General features: G+C 37.8%; 1 protein-coding gene across 14 annotated transcripts in view; it reads right to left on the bottom strand.

The window, feature by feature from the left end:
- Nucleotides 1-2,636: 2,636 nt before the first annotated feature.
- MDM1 (Mdm1 nuclear protein) overlaps nucleotides 2,637-20,985 on the bottom strand; it is a 37,797-nt gene continuing 19,448 nt past the window's right edge. For 12 of the 14 annotated variants that reach the window (NM_001354974.2, XM_047429161.1, NM_001205028.3 and 9 more), the window contains 3 exons: nucleotides 10,691-10,943; nucleotides 4,994-5,053; nucleotides 2,637-3,437 (listed from right to left, as the gene is read on the bottom strand). In NM_001354974.2, coding sequence (NP_001341903.1) covers nucleotides 3,325-3,437; nucleotides 4,994-5,053; nucleotides 10,691-10,943 — 426 coding nt within the window. In that variant the 3' untranslated portion in view covers nucleotides 2,637-3,324. Of the gene's footprint in view, nucleotides 3,438-4,993; nucleotides 5,054-10,690; nucleotides 10,944-11,926; nucleotides 11,985-20,985 lie in introns of those variants that run through there. The other 2 variants (XM_047429162.1, XM_011538569.2) reach the window with 1 other exon arrangement.

Here is a 20,985-nt window from a genome sequence, read left to right on the forward strand (position 1 = left end):
GCCCTGAGCACACTAACATGACTACCACTTTCAGATGTAAAAGTACCAAAAACATATTCCAAAACCAAATAGAAATAATTCTGGGATCATCTACCATTTTACATTATTTGTTCCTTTGGTAAACTTCCAGAAGTCAGGATATTTTCTGGATGTCTGATATGTGCATGCACAATTAAAACAAAAATATATAATCCATCCTTGAGCTCCCTAAGTAGCCAACTTCAACACTTCTCTACTTAAGGACAAGCTTGTTTTGAATATTAATTTGCTTTCATTCTGGTTGAATCCATTTGTACAATAATTCAATGCTCACATATTCTTTTTCCCGACTAGAAAAGGTAGTCATTTATCTTCCAAGAAGGCAAAGTAGAAAATTAACTCCCAAATGAATCAACCAGAGAGAGAACTGAATCACAGTGGGACTTGCAATTTTAGCATACACACTTCAAAGGAGTTAGTGTGGGTGGATTTCGAGTAAGGAGGCCTAGATTTAATTCACCAGCCTTCAGATCTTGGGCCAGTTATTTCATCTAAGTCGGTCTTCCCATCTGTAAAATGATATTTATGCTTAAATCTCATGGTAACATTTCCTCCTATGTACCAAGCATATTTATCATGTTATTTATCCTTAATCGTCACAACTATCCTTCAAGGTTTAATTTTGAGTTCAGAATTCCATGGGGATCCAGAGATGAGACCAGAAATTAACATGCGAAACCTCCCATGTATGTGTTTTGGTGCATTTTTATAAGGGCTCTCAAACACGGATACACTGAGAATCTCAACACCTGGGGTGAAGATGGGGGAGGGGCAGAGAAAAAAGCAGGTAGGTGTATGCATTTTAGAAAAACCACTCGTTGCAGTTCTGCGGTTGGCTCCCCAGTGTGGCTTGTGAGATATTAATTTAGACGAAAAGATCAAGCTACCAGTTTATAATATTTATTTGAGTATATACTGTATACTCAAAGCAGAAGTTATATTCAAGATGAATAAAAATTGAATTACCTGGATATTCTGCAGAGAAATGAAAGCATATATCTACACAAAGACTTGCACACCAATACTGATAGCAGTTTTATTCATTATAATCCCGAACTGAAAACAACCCCAAAGTCCACCAGCAAGTGAATAAAGAGGCAACATGCGCACCAAAACATGGATGACTCTCAAAAATATTATGCTAAGTAAAAGCCAGGCATAAAGGATGGCTCCATTTATATAAAATTCCTGTAAACTAATTTATACCAACAGAATGCAGATTATTGGTTGCCTTGGGGACCAGGGGTGGAAGGACAGACTGACTGCAAAAGAATATGAAGAAACTTTTGGGGTGATGGAAACATAATGTATCATGATTGTGGTGTTAGTTTCACAGATGTGTACATCTATTCAAACTCACTGAGCTCTAATTTTTTTAACAACTGCAGTTTAAAGTATGCCTTAATAAAACTAATAAAAATTTGAATTAGCAATCCCAGCTCCTGAATACTAGCAAATCTCAAGGGGCAGTTGTCATGTAACTAAGACTACTCACCAACCCAAATGCATGTCTTCTGAGTTACCCTTAGTATGAGCAATTAAAACACTACTGGGCCCTCAACACTATTCTCTCCCCTGAGTCACTGAATAGGGTTTTTAACAGAAGCAGTCAATAACTGCAGAGCTAAATTGTTGCATAGAGACTGGGTTCATGACCTTGTCCCCATGAGAACTATATCCTAATCCTTCTAACACCTGATAGATCAAGTTCATGTGGTTTGATTCACTCCAGTGGGTGTACCCAGATTTTACATCTACAGCTTAGATAAAATAGACTGAGTTATGCAAAATTCCCTGCAAGCTAGCTCTAATTCCCTTCTTTACCATACATCAGTGGTCAGCCATTGAAAACTCTGTCCTAACCAACTAGACTAACCAACCTTTGAGGAAGAGGAAAATATGTATCTAGAGAGGTAAGTTCCAAACCTATTTTACAATTAACATGCCTCAGTTCAGATATGTATAGAAGCCAATTTGTGTTCTAAAGTCCACTTATACTGTAATTTCAAACTTTTATTTTCATATTTAATGCCTTAGTAGCCTTTAATGAACAAACTAGTTTAAAGGTCAGTGGAAGATAGGCAAATATTTGTATGCCTACAGTTCTTTAAAACTTCATGATAATGTAAGATCTTTAACAAACTTATTGTGAACCAACGATTTGCAAATGCACTTTTGACCAATTATCACTTTAGAACAGATTGTTCACTTGTTTTCTAACCAATAAGCATGAATATTCTGTATATTTTAGCTTCAGTACTTTCTATGTATTACTGTAAAGATTTTATGTAATATAGTTGTAAAATCCATATTTTTTAGAAACTTAAATTTATCATGATTTGCAAGATAAACAGTATGACAACAGAACATGTCCCATGAGTGAAGAAATATATTTAAAAAGTTTTGTGTTAAATTTCTGTAAATGAGTCTGCCTTGGAAATTCTTTGTCCCACATTTGTGCGAAAATATCACAGACTTGGCTCCATTCCATTCTGACAGCTGCAAAACAAGTATAACTGTTCATTAACCTGTTAGGAGTAGAATTCTTCTACAAGATAATTATTTGTTCCATGTAATAACTTTCTGGAGAAGCCAAACGCACTTGATCCATTTTTATTTCAAAATGTCTACAAAGTTTTAATTCTCCATTATACAGGTAATTTTTCAAAATCTAGACATTATTCAAATGTAAGCCAAAGTCCTTACACAAATAGAATACACTCAAAGATCAAAAATATACATATCTTTCAGCAAACTTTGTTACATAAATAAGAAAAATATATACAGCTGGTGTTTTCAAAGTACAATTATCTTAACACTGCAAACATGTATAGAAGGAACTAAAATAAAAAGAAACACTACAGCAAAGGTTAAAGGAACAACAAATTCATTTTACAACATCATCAATTATAAAGATACATATATCAAATCTTAGGGGAATATATACTTCACACTGGGATCTTAACTTTTACTTCACTTTGTTTATTTTTTTAGAATACTCTCTGGATAGGTGAAAATCTATCCATGACACCTATTACGAAAGTTACATGTGAAGAATTCAATAATCTAGGTCTTTGTACTCTGGGATAGATGTAAAAAGAATTCTTTAAAAGTTAAATTTGTATAAGCCTATGTTAACAATTTCCAAGTAAACTGTTCTATTGGAAATTAAATATTTCAAAGTAGAAAACGTTAGGAAAAACTTCACTCAAAAAATTTTAACACAGTAAGCAATAAAGAAAAATTATGCCAATGTTTCCTTAGATAAAGGCAACTCAGCTAGGTTTATGTTTTACCCCAGAAATTCTCCTTCCTTTTCTTAGCTCGTGCCAGAGTTTGAAAAGCCCGGAGACTAGAAGCTGCAGAGCGAGCAGAAATCTCAGACAATCTGTCCTCATCTGCAATGAAAAAATCCCGAGATTATATTCATTGCCAAAAATATCTATTAAATAAACATTGTGTTTTATATAACAGAAAATTAAAAGCATCAAACTGTGTTATCAATGTCAAGTTAGTCAGGAAAAAAAGTAATCTACTGAAATGTAAGATACTAACACTCTCATGATACCTCACAGTAGTTTTCCAGGTTTATCATATATAGAAATCAAACCTTTTAATCTTAACATTTATCGTTAAATTTTTTTCCTTCTTGAAATCCCGTCATTAACAGAGCACACGGCCTATGATTTCAGTATTACTTGAAAATAATTCATCATAATACTGTTTTATCCTACTTTAAAAAGCACAGCTATTCTGAGCAAAAAGCTTTTCTAAACTTTTTAAAAACAAAATGCCATACCTTAACATGGCATTTACATCACATTTCTAAAATAATCTCACTAAATGTAGAAATAATTTTTGATTTTAATATGCTACCCTTCCTTAATACTGAAATTCCTCATTCTGAGTAAGCAAATCTTTTATAAGGTTATTTATAGACACTATTCTTCCATTAGAAAGAAAAAAGGACTGGATTCAAAGTTGTCAGACATTTGCATTTCAAAACATACAACTTGATTTCTAGCTCAATGAATTATAACAAAAAGTCCTAAACCTGCTAAACGGAAAGAAAGTCTTTAATGTATGATACAGAGTATGAAATTTAAATTTACTTCCAATTCAAACTTTGTAAGTTCAGTAATTCCATACTTCTTAGGATGAATTAAAATAGTGATTCAATTATTCATATTGAATTCAAGTCTCCTGCCACTATTATAAGCAAATAAATGTCAGAATAAAAACTACAAAAGGCTGGGCATGGTGGCTCACGCCTGTAATCCCAGCACTTTGGGAGGCCAAGGTGGGCGGATCACAAGGTCAGGAGTTTGAGACCATCCTGGCCAACATGGTGAAACCCCATCTCTACTAAAAATACAAAAATTAGCCGGGTGTGGTAGCGGATGCCTGTAATCCCAGCTATTTGGGAGGCTGAGGCAGGAGAATCGCTTGAACCCGGGAGGCAGAGGCTGCAGTGAGCCGAGATCATGCCACTGCACTCCAGCCTGGCGACAGAGCGAGACTCCGTCTCAAAAACAAAACAAAACGAAACAGCAAAAAAGAATAATGTCAATTTTCTCTAATCATGTATTTGTTTGACCATGGAAAATTGACAAAAATATATAGGCATTTTTTTAAAAGATGGATGTAACACTAGGCCAAATTCCTGAGCCCCCAGCTAGACAAGGTGGAAAAAGAAAAAGAACACTGACCTCAGCTGTGATGTCAGGCACAATCTCTTATTGTATGTTTGCCCTAGAACAGTTTTTTACCACTTTACTCCCAGCTTACTCATTTGTAAATGGGGGTAATTTCACTCCCCCTCACAGGGTTTCAAGGATCTAATGAAAAATCTGTGGAAGTACTTCATAAGCTATAAAGTGCTAATCAAATGTAAAGCCATTATACTCTCATAGACTAGAACTCAAACTTTTATGTTATGTGACTACTGAAATACCTTCATCATTAAAGGCTTCATGTTGAGGTAACTGCAAATTGTTCATCCTTGCTTTTCCCACTTAAAAAAAAAAAGGCAGAATAAATTATCCTTCAAAAGCCACTGAACAGCTTATCTCAATTATATACTAAACTGTTAGTAAAAGTAGGCTGTCAGAAATTTTATTAATTATCAAACCTACATGTGAGTAAAGGTTTAAGAAATGAAAAAGATTTTATTAATTAATTTTATATCTTAATAGAAATTACCATAAAAGGGCCATTCATAATTTATAATGCACTTAGCAAGCATGTAAACAAACTATGGATAACTTCCTAATATTCTTTCCAATGATAATATTGATCTATTCTAACTTTAAAGAAATGTAGTAGGCTTCTGATTAGAGATGGTAAATTAAATACACGCATTTACAAGAAGAACAAACTCATAGGACAAAGAGAATGGGAGCAAATAAGACAGCAAGAAACTTTTTGGAACATGGAAAGCAAATGGAAGAGCAGTGAGTGTATAACTATACCCAAGTAAGTGGAAGTTTAAGCCAGCAGAAGAGTGAAACCAAGAAACAACCAACTTGTTCCCCTGATGGCTCTGGGTTTGGGCATACTGAGTACCACTGAAAGTTGGAGTGAAGGGAAGACTGAACCAGGAAGCTGCCTAAATATGTTTTTACAAAAATAGTTAATATGCCAGGTCCTCCTTTAAATTTGCACAGCTGGGTAGTTCCCTCTTTCCCAAAGAGGCATGGAAGTTTCGTCTCTAAAAGTTTACCAGAGATACTTTGACTGAAGGATACCAGGTTCAACTGTGGGCAGGGGTAATGTATTCAAAACAGAGGCATTATATGTATCATTTTCCTCTTCAAAGAGATAAAACATTCCATTCATGAAATAAGAATGGGATGCTGTATAAAAGCAATATGCAATGTTCAAAAATTCTTAGAAATTAAAAAGAGCAAAAATCTTTTTAAAAAACTAACAGACGGCATGTGGAGAGTCAAAGAGCAGACCCACCTAACCCAGCCCCTGCCTGGCTGTGCCCCTCCACAGCTTAACAAAAACGACATAAACTTTTGGGAGTTTTATAACCCTGCCCAGGTGTGAGAAGCCAGAATACCTCCCCTGGGCAACACAGGGAAAGCTCAATTACCACTGCTACTACTGCAGCTGGTGCTCTTTTGCAAGCAGCACCTCCTGATTAGAGGCCAACTGACACAGTCCATTATATCATCTCTAGGTAGAATAACGCTGTGCCCAGAAAACCAGTGCCTGACCTCAGCTATCACCACTGCCTGCAACACCCTAGCTGACCAGTGGTCCTGAATCTGTCTACGTGACAAGTTCACAACTATCATAACCAACACGCAAGAAAGCCAGCACCCTAAGCCTATCTACAACCAAGGAATCTCAGGAGTCCCAGATCTTTCCACTGGTGGGAAGTTTCTTTCAGCAGAGACACAATTGCAGTGCTAGGCTCAGCAGGGAGTCTACCCCATCACCCCAACAGTCAGGCAAGCTTAGTGCTCATGAAGGGTCTTGGAGAAGGGGTCTTATTTCCCCTTGTCCACCACTGCAGACACAGCTGGGACTTCTCCCACAGGACTCGGTATGAGTGTGCCTATAGACAGCCTTCCTGGAACACTTTAGGGTGACTGCTTCCCCACAGGAGGAGCACTCCCCAGATGCAGGCTTGCATGAGAGGCAGAGTCACAATTCCTATCTACTTGGATAGCATTCTCACCCTTCACCCTGATAAGACCTCACTGCATTTAACTGAGAGCTCCCCCAGCCACCTTCATCAAGGCTGGGACCTGTGCCCACCAGTGGGTATTGCATTCACCCACCTACCTTAGCCACAGTAAGTTCCTACCCAGGGATACCTCCCCTAATGGCCTGAAGCCTGAACTATCAACTCAGTAAACAAAATACTGGAGAAAAATTAAATAAATGAAAAAGTACACACCACAGGGGAATGAGATAAGCTTCAAGAGACCTCTGCCATTCCAACCCCACAGGAGACAGCGAACTTGCCGACACACTGAGTACACAGCTACTACAACCAGCAACTGAGGAAGCCATCATACAAAGACTCTCTATAACCAAAGAACTTATAAAGACTCTTCACCCCTAAAAGCACCAAGAACCAAATTAAACTATAACAAATTATAATCATTAAGGTCACATTCTTAAGAGGGGAAAAAAATTTTAAAAAAAACACACATAGTCAAATCAAAAATAAATTTGAGAACAATTAGAATAGTCTACCCAAAAAAGAAGGAACCAGAAAGTAATTCTAGTAATATGACAAAACAAGGTTCTATAACACCCTCAAAAGATCACACTCACTCTCCAGTAACTGATCCAAACCAAGATGAAATCTTTGAAATACCAGATAACAAATTCAGAAGGTTGATGATTAAGCTACTCAAGGAGCTACCAGAGAAAGGTGAAAACCAACATAAAGAAATTAAAAAAAAATTCAGGATATGAATGAAAAATTTCCCAGAGAGATAGATATCATAAAGAAAATGCAATCAGAACATCTGGAAATAAAAAACACACTTAGAGAAATACAAAACGTAGTGGAAAGTTTCAAAAATAGACTAGAACAAGTAGAAGATAGCTGCATGCCAGGTCCAAGAGGGAGGAAAAAGCAGAAAAAAGAATTTCAGAGCTCAAAGACAAGGCTTTCGAATTAACCCAATCAAACAAAAATAAAGAAAAAAGAATCAAATGAAATGAACAAAGTCTCCAAGAAATATAGGATTATGTAAACAACCAAATGTAAGAATAAATGGTGATACTGAGGGAGAAGAAAAGGCTAAAAGTTTGGAAAATTCCTTTGAGGGAATAATTGAGGAAAACTTCCCTGGCCTTGCTAGAGATTTAAATATCCAAATACAAGAAGCTCAATGAACTCTTAGGAACTTCATTGCAAAAAGATCATCACCAAGGCACATAGTCATCAGGTTATCTAAAGTCAACATGAAGGAAAGAATTCTAACAGTTGTGAGGCAAAAAGCATCAGGTAACTTACAAAAGAAAAACAACTAGACTAACAACAGACTTCCCAGCAGAAACCTTACAAGGCAGAAGGCATTGGGGTCCTATCTTTAGCCTCCTTAAACAGAACACCTATCAGCCAAGAATTTTGTTAGTTTAGCAAAACTAAGTTTCATAAATGAAGGAGAAATAAAGTCTTTTTCAGACAAACAAATGCTGAGGAATTTGTCACTACCAGACCAGCACTACAAGAAATGCTAAGTAGGAGTTCTAAATTTTGAAACAAAAGCTTGATATGCAACAAAACAGAACCTCTGAAAGCTTAAAACTCACAGGGCCTATAAAACAACACAACGGAAAAAACAAAGTATCTAAGTAACAACTAACACAGTGAATAGAACAGTACCTCACGTCTCAATATTAACATTGAACGTAAATGGCCTAAATGCTCCATTTAAAAGATATGGAATGGCAGAATGGATTAAAAACCACAAACCAAATATCTAATGCACAAAGATTCATATAAGCTCAAGGTAAAGGGGTAGGAAAAGATATTCCATGCAAATGGAAACCAAAAGCAAGCAGGAGTCTTATATCAGGCAAAACAGACTTTAAAGCAACAACTATTTAAAAAAAGACAAAGGTCATCATATAACGATAAAAAGGTCAGTCCAACAAGAAGGTATTACAGTCAGTCCTACATTTATATGCACCTAACACTGGAGTTCCCACATTTATAAAACAATTACTACTAGACCTGAGAAATGAAGTAGACAGCGACATAATAATAGCGAGTGACTTCAATACTCCACTGACAGCACTAGACAGATCGTTAAGACAGAAAGTCAACGAAGAAACAATGGACTTAAACAATACTCTAGAACAAATGGACTTAACAGATATTTACAAAACATTCTACCCAACAATTGTAGAATATACATTCTTCTCATCATTTCACATGGAACATTTTCCAAAATAGACCACATGACAAGCCACAGACAAGTCTCAATAAATTTAAGAAAATCATACCAATTATCTTCTCAGACCACAGGGGAATAAAACTAGAAATCAACTCCAAAAGGAATCCTCAAAACTATACAAATACATAGAAATTAAATAATCTGCTCTTGAATGATTTTAGGGTTAACAATGAAATCAAGATGGAAATTCAAAAATTCTTTGAAATGAGTAACAGTGACACAAGTTATCAAAACCTCTGGGATACAGCAAAAGCAATGCTAAAAGTTTATAGCATTAAATGCCTACCTTAAAAAGTCTGAAAGAGCACAAACTGACAACCTACTATCACACCTCAAGGAACTAGAGAAACAGGAACACCACGGAATACTAATCCTCCATTAAAAGGAATGAAATAATGTCTTTTGCAGCAACTAAGATGGAGGTGGAGGTCATTATTCTAAATTGAGTAACTCAGGTATGAAAAATCAAATACTGCATGTTCTCACTTACCAGTGGGAGCTAAGCTATGAGGACACAAAGACATACAGAGTGATACGATAGACTGTGGGGACTTGGGGTGGGGGAAGGGATAAAAGTCTACATGTTGGGTACAGTGTACACTGCTTGGGTAACAGGTGCATTAAAATCCAGAATTCACCACTATAGAATACATCCATGTAACCAAAACTACCTGTACCCCAAAAGCTATTGAAATAAAAATTTTAAAAAACACAAAAGATAGAAGATAAAAATTAGTAACCCTTTCAAATTTAAAGACAGAGATGGAAAACAGGAGAGGTAAGATAAAAAATAAAATCATGTCCAACATCTGAATAGGAGCCCTAGAAAGAGGAAATAGAGAAAGGAGAGAAATTTTTTTTTTTTGGCCTCCCAGACTTAAGCAATTCTCATGCCTCAGCCTCCCAAGTAGCTGGAATTACAGGTGTGCACTAACACACCCAGCTAATTTTTTTGTAACAGAGACAGGGTTTCATCATGTGACCCAGGCTGGTCTCAAATTCCTGGCCTCAAATGATCTGCCTGCCTTGGCCTCCCAAAGTGGCTGGGATTACAAACATGAGCCACTGTGCCTGGCCAGGAGAGGAAATTTTTGACTGAATAATTCAAGAAAATGTTCCAGAAGTGAGAATTTTCCAGATTGAAAGGTCTATGGAGTACCAGCAAAATGAATAAAAAAAATAATACTCTCTCAGAGGCACATCATAAAATTTCAGAACATTAGATATGAAGAGAAGATCCCAAAAGCTGCCAGAAAGAAAACACCACACATAGAAGATCCAGAATAAAAGGAGCATCTGACTTCTTAACATTAACGATGGAAGCCAGAAAAGAGCTGAGCAATGCCTACTAACACTAAAGGAAAGTCATTTCTGACTGTGAATTCTACACCCAGGCAACATTTGGCAATGTCTGGAGACATTTTTGGTTGTCACATCCAGAGAAGAGGTGCTACTGTCATCTATCTAGTGGATTCCCTGTATGTGTATGAATAAGAACTTGAGAGATATCTCACACATATATAACAGCAAAAAGTGAACTTAGGTGCAGCACAATTGGTCCCAAGGAGGGAGTTTTCCTATTTAAAGAAATTTTATTAATACATTAACCAAAAATACTAAATAACTGATTTATTAACATAAAATGCATTCTTAGACTTTGTACCTATCAGCATAACACTTTATTTTAAAAGACAAAAAATTAAAACCAAAATAATTACCATTGTGCTGAAACTCTGGATCTCTAAGAGAGCCCTGAATTCGTCGAGAGGGATGCCAGTAGGATGGAACATGTGGTGGAGAAGGCAACTGTCCAGGGGGATTTGTTGGGTATTTTGGAATTTTTGAAACTGGAAGAGTTGCCTCAGCAAATTTGTGGATATTGTCTTCAGAATCTTCCCGCAAAGGCAGAGGATCAACTGTTTTTATACCAGCAGCTGGAGAAGTCAGTAGGGATACAGCACGACTTTCTTTCTAAATGACAAAAAAAAAAAAAAAAAAAAGATGCCTATGTGTAGATATGTAAATAAATAAGCCAAACATTTAAATGCAAAAAACATAACCAAAAAGCAGAAGGAGAAATATGAGAGAATTTATGCAACATCTATGTGGGGAAGATATGATATAGACAAACAGACCTGGCTATATAAACAAAATACGTAGACATTTTAAAAATTAAAAGAAAAATGCAGAACTTGGAAAAAATACAACTTTTATGACTGACAATGAATTATCATTGCTGCATAAGTATTTCTTTAAAAACAGTAAGAAAAATATAAACCTAATTAAAAAGTAGAAAAAGGATATGAATAAGCAATTCATATAATGTACACACAAATCACAAACAGCAAACGTATTCTTCCTTACTAATGATCAAATAATTATAAAATGAAAGCACTGAGATATTAATTTTTCACGTACCAAATTTCAAAAATTAATTTTTAAAAGCACAATGATACCAGAGCTGGCAAGGATGTAGAGAAACTGGCAACCTCATAGACTGCTATTGGGAGTACAATCTTTCTGGGGGGCCGGCAAAACATAGCAGAAGCCTTAAAATTTAGCATTCTTTGACTTCTTTGACTACACAATAATACTTGGGGAGTACTCACAAACACAAAATAATATAAACAAAAATGTAGTTACAGATGGATTTCTTTACAGTATTTCTTCAAAACAGACTAAGAAATAACAATAGAAATTTGAGTAAAAATTAGATTTTAACAATAAGCATCTGGTTTTAAAAAACTGTGGTGTAACTATAGATTGCACGTCGCCATAAAAATAAGATTATGAATATTTCATGATGTGAAAATATGTTAACAGTGCTAAAAATAGATTATAAAACCTTTCTACACTATGATAAATAAATAACCAAATATACTAACACATATATACCTAAATACCTCAAAAATTTAACAGTGGATGTCCCTGAACAGTACATGTGAGATATTTACCTTCTTTTTTAGTTTGGTCAGTATTTGCTGTTTTCCACAATGACTATGTATCACTGTCCTAGAAGTCAAGAACAATTTTACTTTTTAAAAGAAGGCAGCTAGCTGGACACACTGGCTCATGCCTGTAATCCTAGCAATTTGGGATACTTGGGTGGCCAAGGCACAAGAATTGCTCGAGCTGGGGAGGCAGAGATTGCAGTAAGCCATGATTGCATCACTGCACTCCAGCCAGGAAACGGAGAGAGACTGTCTCAAAAAATAAAAATAAAAATGGTCCAGGTGCAGTGGCTCATGCCTGTAATCCTAGCACTTTGGGAGGCCGAGACGGGAGGATCACTTTAGGCCAGGAGTTTGACCAGCCTGGTCAACACGGCGAGACCCCATATCTATTTATTTAAAAAAAAAATTAAATTAAATTAAAAACAAAACAAGGCAAACCAGTAAAATCAAATACAGTTCCAAACTTTCCTGATTATTTCTTGTAATTGTTGCCTTCACTTATTATCTTTGATTCTATCAATGTAACATTCAAAACATTGCTTTCTAAACTTAGATATCATTTTCTGTGATTGCAGAGCTTATTGCTTCAAACTGGCCTAGGGCTGTTAGTCTCAACCAATAAACATACTTCAAATCAATATGAAGGATAAAACCACAAATCTTCCACTTGTTTTCCTTTTTAAACAAGTATCACTTAGTACAATACAAATAATTCCAAAGAGAAATTGTTCTTTTTTTTTCCTTTTTCTATATATATGAACAAAATTTGTGATCTCTGTAAAACTGGTTTTACAATTGCTGAAAACACCGGAAAGAAACCTGTAAAATAAAAGACATGGGGTTCCCAGGTTTAACGTAACTGATTCTGCGATCTGTTTTTGAGCCTAAATCCTCAAAAGGCCAATAGGCCTCACTGCTCTACTCAGCCCTGTGTACAGCAGTTCTCCACTGAGGAGCCACAGTGACTTGATTTGCCCTGTGAATCATATCCTATTTGCTTTGTTGCTTCTGATATTCCAGAGGTTTCCCAGTGACATCAGAATAACATCCAAGAGAATAAACCCCACTTGATTATAATGAATTATCTTTTTGATGTGCTGCTGGATTCAGTCTGATAGTATTTTGTTGAGGATTTTTGTGTCTACCTTCATCAGGAATATTGGTCTACAGTTTTCTTTTTTTGTTGTTGTGTCCTTGCCAGATTTTGGTATCAGGATGATACTGGTTTCGTAGAATGTGTTAAGGAGAAATCCTTTCTCTTTGATTTTGGGGAATAGTTTTAGCACATAAACAGAATTAAAAACAAAAACCATATGATCATCTCAATACATGTAGAAAAAGCATTTGATAAAGTCCAATATCCCTTCATGATAAAAATCCTCAACAAACTAGGCAATGAAGGAACATACCTCTCAAAATAATAAGAGCCATCTATGACAAACCCACAGCCAATATCATACTGAATGGGCAAAGGTGAAAGCATCCCCCCTAAGAACAAGACAAGGATGCCCACTCTCACCACCTCTATTCAACATAGTACTGAAGTCCTACCCAGAGCAATCGGGCAAGAAAAAGAAACAAAAGGCATCTAAATAGAAAAAGAGGAAGTCAAATTATCTCTGTTCACTCACAATATGATTCTAAACCTAAAAAAACCCTAACAATCCCTCCAAAAGACCTGATAAATGACGTTAGTAAAGTTTCAGGATACAAAAATTAACGTACAAAAATCAGTAGCATTTCTACAAACCAATAATTCAAGCTAACAACCAAATCAAGGATACAGTCCTGTTACAATGGCCCCCCAAAAATAAAGTACCTAGGAACACAGCTAACCAAGGAGGTGAAAGATCTCCCCATGAACTACAAAACACTGCTGAAAGAAATTATAGATGACATAAACAAATGGAAAAGCATTCCACGCCCATGGATCGGAAGAATCGATATTGTTAAAATTGCCATACTGTCTAAAGTAACTTACAGATTCAATGCAATTCCTATCCAATTACCAATGTCATTTTTCACAGAATTAGAAAAAGCAGTTCTAAAATTCATAAGGAAGCAAAAAAAAAAAAAGGGCCCAAAGCAATCCTAAGCAAAAAAAAAAAGGAAAAAAAAAAGAACAAAGCTGGAGGCATTACATTACTTGACTTCAACCTATTACTATAAAGTTACAGCAACCACAACATCATGGTACTGGTAAACAAACAGACAGACTAATGGAACAGAAAAGAGAACTCAGAAATAAAGCCATACACCTACAGCTATCTGATCTTTAACAAAGATGACCAAAAAAAATGAACAATGGAAAAAGGACACCCTATTCAATAAATGGTGCTGGGAAAACTGGCTGGCCATATGTAGAAGAATGAAATTGGACCCCTATCTCTCACTATATACAAAAATTAACTCAAGATGGATTAAAGACTTCAATGTAAGACCTCAAAGTACAAAAATCCTAGAAGAAACCCTAGAAAAAACTCTTCTGGACATTGGCTAAGGCAAGGAATTTATGACTAAGTACTCAAAAACAAATGTAACAAAAACAAATTGACAATTGGGACTTTTGCACAGCAAAAGAAACTATCAACAGAGTAAACGGACATCTTACAGAATGGGAGAAAATATTTGCAAACTACATATCTGACAACGGACTAATATCCAGAATCTATAAGGAACTTAACAAGAAAAAAACAACTCCATTAAAAAGGGGGCAAAGGACATGAACAGACACTTCTTAAAAGAAGACAAAGCAGCCAACAAACATGAAAGAATGCTCAACATTGCTAATCACCAGAGAGATGCAAATCAAAACCATAATGAGATATCATCTCACACCAGTCAGAATGACTATTACCAAAAAGTCAAAAAATAACAGATGTTGGCAAGGATGCAGAGAAAAGGAAACGCAACCCCTTTGGAAAGCAATATGAAAATTTCTCAAACAACTAAAATTAGAACTACCATTCAACCCAGCAATCTCACTACTGAGTATCTACCCAAAGGAAATCATTCTATGAAAAAGACCTGCACTCATAGGTTTATTCCAGCACTATTCACATTAGCAAACTCATGGAATCAGCCTAGGTGCCCATCAATAGTGGATTAGATAAAGAAAATGTAGTACATATACACACCATAGAATACTGCGCAGCCATAAGAAAGAATGAAATCATGTCCACTGCAACAACATGGATGCAGCTGGAGGCCATTATTCTAATTGAATTAACACAGAAACATAAAGTCAAATACTGCATATTCTCATTTATAAGTGGGAGCTAAACAAGAGGTACACACAACATAAAGATGGAAACAGACACCAGCAACTACAAAAGGGGGAGAAGAGGGAGGGGTGCAAGAGTTGAAAACCTACCTATTGGGTACAATGTTCACTATTTGGGTGATGGGTTCAATAGAAGCCCAAACCCCAGCATTACACAATATACCAATGTAACAAACTTGGACATAAACGCTCTGAATCTAAAATAAAATTCAGGCTGGGCACAGTGGCTCAAGCCTGTAATCATCCTACCACTTTGGGAGGCCAAGAAGGGAGGACTGCTTGAACCCAGGAGTTTGAGAACAGCCTGGCAACACAGCGAGATCCCCAACTCTACAAAAAATTTTTTTTAAAAATTAGCCAGGCATGGTGGCACATATCTGTGGTCCCAGCTACTCAGGAGGCTGAGGTGGGAGGATTGCCTAAGCCCAGAAGGTTGGGGCTACAATGAGCCGTGATTGCACCAATGCACTCTGGCCTGGGCAACACAGCAAGACCTTGTCTCAAAAAGCAAAAAATGGGCCAGATGTGGTGGTTGTAACCTGTAATCCCAGCACTTTGGGAGGCCGATGCAGGTGGATCACTTGAGGCCAGGAGTTCAAGACCAGCCTGGCCAACATGGCAAAACCACATCTCTACTAAAAATACAAAAATTAGTCAGATGTGGCCACAGGTGGCTATAGTCTCAGCTATTTGGGAGGCTGAGGCATGAGAACTGCTTGAGCCTGGAAGGCAGAGGTTGCAGTGAGCCAAGATCGCACCACTATACTCCAGCCTGGGCAACAGAGCAAGACCCTGTCTCAAAAAAAAAAAAAAGTGAATATAAAATTAAATTAAAAAAAAAAAAAAGAATAACATCTAAGATCCTTACTCGGCCTCCCTTTCTAATCTCATTTCCTGCCCTCTCCCCTTCCCTCTCCAGGCTCCAGCCACACTTTTAATCTCTCTGGGTTCTTGCCCTAGGGAAAAACACTTGCACTTGCTGTTCCTTCTTTTTTTTTTTTTTTTGAGATGGAGTCTCACTCTGTCGCCCAGGCTGGAGTGCAGTGGCGCGATCTCAGCTCACTGCAACCTCCGCCTCCCGGATTCAGGCAATTCTCATGCCTCAGCCTCCCAAGTAGCTGGGACTATAGGCGTGTGCCACCATGTCCAGCTAACTTTTGTAATTTTAGTAGAGACAGGGTTTCACTGTGTTGGCCAGGCTGATGTTGAACTCCTGACCTCAAGTGATCCACCTGCCTTGGCCTCCCAAACTGCTGGAATTACAGGCATGAGCCACTGCGCCCGGCCCCTGTTCTTTCTAATTGGAAAACAATCTCTGCCCCAGATCTCTGCATGGGCACCTTCCTCATCAGTCAGGTCTCAGCTAAAACGTCATCTCCTTAGAGGTGCCTGTCCTGATGGCCCAAACTAAAGCTGTCTTACCCATCCCTTAGAGACCTGTAGTCTTATTTAATTCACAGCGCTTACTACTATGTGAAATTATTTTCTTAAAAAATTGTCTATTCCTCCCAATGAAAATGTAAGCTTCATGAAGGCAGGGATTTTGACCTGATTATCAATAAATCCTCAGATCCTAGAACAGTGCCTGGCACTTGGTAAGAGCCTATTAAATATTGAATTGAATGAATGAAAATAAAACTACCCTCCAAAGAGGCTCCTTGTCCAGAGTTCTCTTGCTCAGTGCATGGTACCTCCATCAATCTTGTTGGGCAAGCCAGAAACTTAGCAGGCATCCCTGTCTCTCATCCATTATCCAACCCAGCATCAACCTTAACATTGTTCCCCTTACATAATTGTGCAGTTTCATCCACTTCTGTCTATTCCTACCCTCCTTCATCCAAGCTACCAACACCTCCTACGTGGACTACTGCAATGGCCTTTTAAGGGCATTCACAGCCTACTCTTGCCTCCTATGGCAGCCGGACAGATCTTGCAAAACATATATCCATCACAATTCCCATACTGAAAATATTTCAATGGCTTCCCATTGCTCTTGAGATAACGAAAGAAATCCCAATGTTGCCATGTTTTCCAGCCTCATGTTGTACCAGGCTCCCTGCCACACACTGTATTGGTCTTTGTTTCCTCAAACTCTACATTGTTTCTCTCCACAAGATCTTGGCATATGCTAGGCTCCTTCTCCCCATCCTTTTTTCCTGGTTAATGCTTCCTCTTCTCCTTTATCTTAGCTCAATTATGAGTTTTTCAAAGAAGCATCATTGACTTCCAAGAAGGTTTCTGATCTCCATGATTAGAACAATTCCTTCCAGAATAGTGCTAAGTACTTTTATTTTGAAACTCTTATTAGTTTTAATTTCATTTCTTTTTTGGTGTGATTAACATGTATCTCCCTTACCAGACTGCAGGTTTCATAAGATTATGTACCATGTCTGTTTCTATCCATTATCATTGCCATAGCATGTGGGTAAATCTGCTAAATGAATGAAGTGAGCAAATCCACACTTGGGTTTTTAATATAAAGATTTGAAAATGTTTCCTGATGATCAAACCAATATGAGAATTCTACCCTAAAGTTTTGGGACATACTGATAATTTATTGGAAATTGAATGACCTATGGGTTTAATTTTATACATAATAATAACGTAATTTCTTATCAATGCTTTTATAAGAGAATATAAGGGGAAAAACTGATGGTGTATATCAAAGTTTAGTGACTCCTCTGCCTACCAGTAACCAAGGGGTAGACACTGGGAAATAACCAAATCTAGCTAGCTCCTGGTATAGTCCCTGGTAGTGCTGGTCGCAGAAAATTCACATGGAAGGATATCCAATCAAGTTGTCAATAATAAACTTGTGTACGTATGTACATATGTATGTATTTATTGGTTTGGAGAGAGTCTTCCTCTGTCTTCCAGGCTGGAGTGCAGTGGCGTGATCTCAGCTCACTCCAACCTCCACCTCCTGGGTTGAAGTGATTCTTGTGCCTCAATCTCCCAAATGGCTGGGATTACAGGCATCTGCCACCACGCCCAGCTAATTTTTGTATTTTTAGTAGGGACAAGATTTCCCCATGTTGGCCAGGCTGGTCTTGAACTCCTGGCTTCATGTGATCCTCCCACCTTGGCCTCCCAAAGTGCTGGGATTATAAACATGAGCTACCGCACCAGGCCAGAAACTTATTTTAGAGGAGTTGGTAATTAAAATGTTAAAAGTGTATAGTACTCACAGTGAGACAGAGAATGGCATTAACATTCTAAGGGATGATATTACTCTATTTAGATTATTCAATAAATTAATTCCACAGTAAGTGAAAATAATACATATAAATCCAGCCACAAATATGGATGAGTCACTCGTTTTGGCTGAATCAGCTGTGTGTATACAGTTGCCTAAAAGCTCACACCTTCCAGATGGCAGCCTGGATTTCTAAGGAGGAGTAAAACAGTCCATTAAGATCTGATTCTCATGAGTCCTCTGACCATATTCCTAATGTCACATTTCCTTTAATAAACCAGTGTATACATAAGCAACAGGAAATAGTTTTGATATTCTGTCACTCCAATAACATTCATTCAATCTGTTACGTGCTATGAGCTGGACTCTGTTCTAAGCACTGGGGATTAAGAGGTAGAGGGTGCTCTGATCCCATCTCCCACCTGTTCCCAATCCCTGAAAACTCCTACTTTGTACTCAAATTCACAAACAGCCATCAGCAAAATTCCCTATAGATTTTCAACCTTTTCTCTGAATGTTCTCTATTCTACTCCAACCACTTACACCCATGATGTTAAGTTAAGCCTTGTCATTACTGGTAACTGCAACCTCTCCATAACCTAAATTTCTGACCACCATTTCCTAACTTTAAAACTAATCCCCACAGGTGCCCCAATTCCAACAAGTCTTTTATTTTACCTAGACCATCCATCCACCGATCCTATCACCTCTGCACTCTTCTCAAGTCCCAGTGTCCTTCCCTCACCAACTCATTATAATCCCTTCTTCATATATACCTCAACTCCATTCCCCTTTTTCTCACTTTGTCTTATTCTCATGACAAATTCAAAACCCTAGGTAAATCCAACTCTATCTGATAAAAGTATCCTGCACTTCTGCAGCCAAACATTACTGGAGAAGGGCACACAACCCTTCCTGACTGGTCTTCTGCCAACTTTGTGACCACCAACTTAAAATGGCCCCTTAACATTGGCCTAAAATATCCCACATTCCCCTGGCCCACTCACTCTCCCACTCTCTGAGAAGACTACTCTATGCCTTCACTTTCCTCAAATCTCCAACATCTTCCCCAGCCTTATTCTCAGTAAGGATCTTTCTTCACATGTCACCAAGAAGCAATAAGAAGAGGTCTTCCAAAAGCTGCCATCACATCTTCCTACATTCATCAGCAGTGCCTGCCCATGAATTCTGCTTTCCCTCTTTTAACAATAAAGAAACAATCAGTGTCTAAAGCCAACCCTTCCATATCTCCACCAGATCCTAAGCCCTTTCTCCTACTCAAGAGCATCTTTCCAACAACTTTCCCCTCACTCCTGCATCATCAACTTTTCTCTCTCCAAAATTATTCTTGTCAACATACAAACATGCTGTTGTGTCTTCCATCTTGTTCTCACTTCTCTCAACTACTCCTGCATTACTCTGCTTCCCTTCTTGGAAAAGAAACTTCAGAGAATTATCTGTGGCAGCTTTCTCCAATTCTTCTCCTCTTTTTTCTCTTGAATTCACTTGCACTTAGGCTTTTGTCCCTTCCTTCCACCAAAACTGCCCTTTATCAAGGTCACCAAAGACCTCCACGTTGCTAAATCTGATAAGCAATTGTCCTATCTTACTCACCTATCTGTAGCATTGACTCTCCCTCCTCCTTGACACCTCCAGGATACCAGTCTCGTTTGTCACCACCTCACTGGCTGCTCTCCTTCAGTCTCCTTTGCTGACTAGTCCTCAACTTCCCAATATCAAAAAACTGGGGTTTAGACCTGTCTACAACTATTCTTCTCTGTCTACACCCACCCCCTTGATGATTTCCTCCAGTCTCAATACTTTAAAAACCTGACCCACCTAAGCTATAAAGAGCCTCAAATCTGTACCTATAGCCCAACTTCTCCTCTACACTCCAAACCTATATAGTCAGTTCCCTATTCAACATGTCTACTTGTATGTCTAATAAGCTTCTCAAATTTAGAGTGTCCAGAACGGAATTCTTGATCTTCTCCAACTCAGTTAAATGGCGACTCCATCCTTATTGCTAAGGCCAAAAATCTTGAGTCACCCTTGATTTTTCTCTTTCTCCCACCCCAGATCTTATCCATCAGCAAATCTTGTTGGCTGTACCTTCCATGTGTATCCAGAATTGAACTTTATATGACCTTCACTGCCACCACCAAGGTCCAAACAACCATCACCTCCTGCCTGGATAGAGTAAGTGACTCCCAACTGTTTTTATGCCCCAGCTCTTGCTCTACTACTACCTATTCTCAACACAGCAGCCAGAAAGACCTTGGAAAAAAACTAAATAAAATCATGTCACTCCTCTGCCTTTCCAATAGCTTGCCACTGCATACAGAAAAAAATTCAAAATCTTTGCTATGATTTACAAAGCCCTACACAATTTAGCACCCCATTATGTCTCTGAACCCATTATCAACACTACTCTCCCTCTCATTCTCTCTCTCTCTCTTCCAGCAACAGTGACCTTCTAGCTGTTCCTCAAGGGGGCAGGTACCCCCTTCACCTGAGGGATCTGCACTTACTGTTCTTGTCACCTAGACCTTCCCAGATCCGCATACAGGTCAATCCCTT

This window comes from Homo sapiens, chromosome 12, assembly GCF_000001405.40.
Source record: "Homo sapiens chromosome 12, GRCh38.p14 Primary Assembly".
NCBI classification, from domain to species: Eukaryota; Metazoa; Chordata; class Mammalia; order Primates; family Hominidae; genus Homo; species Homo sapiens.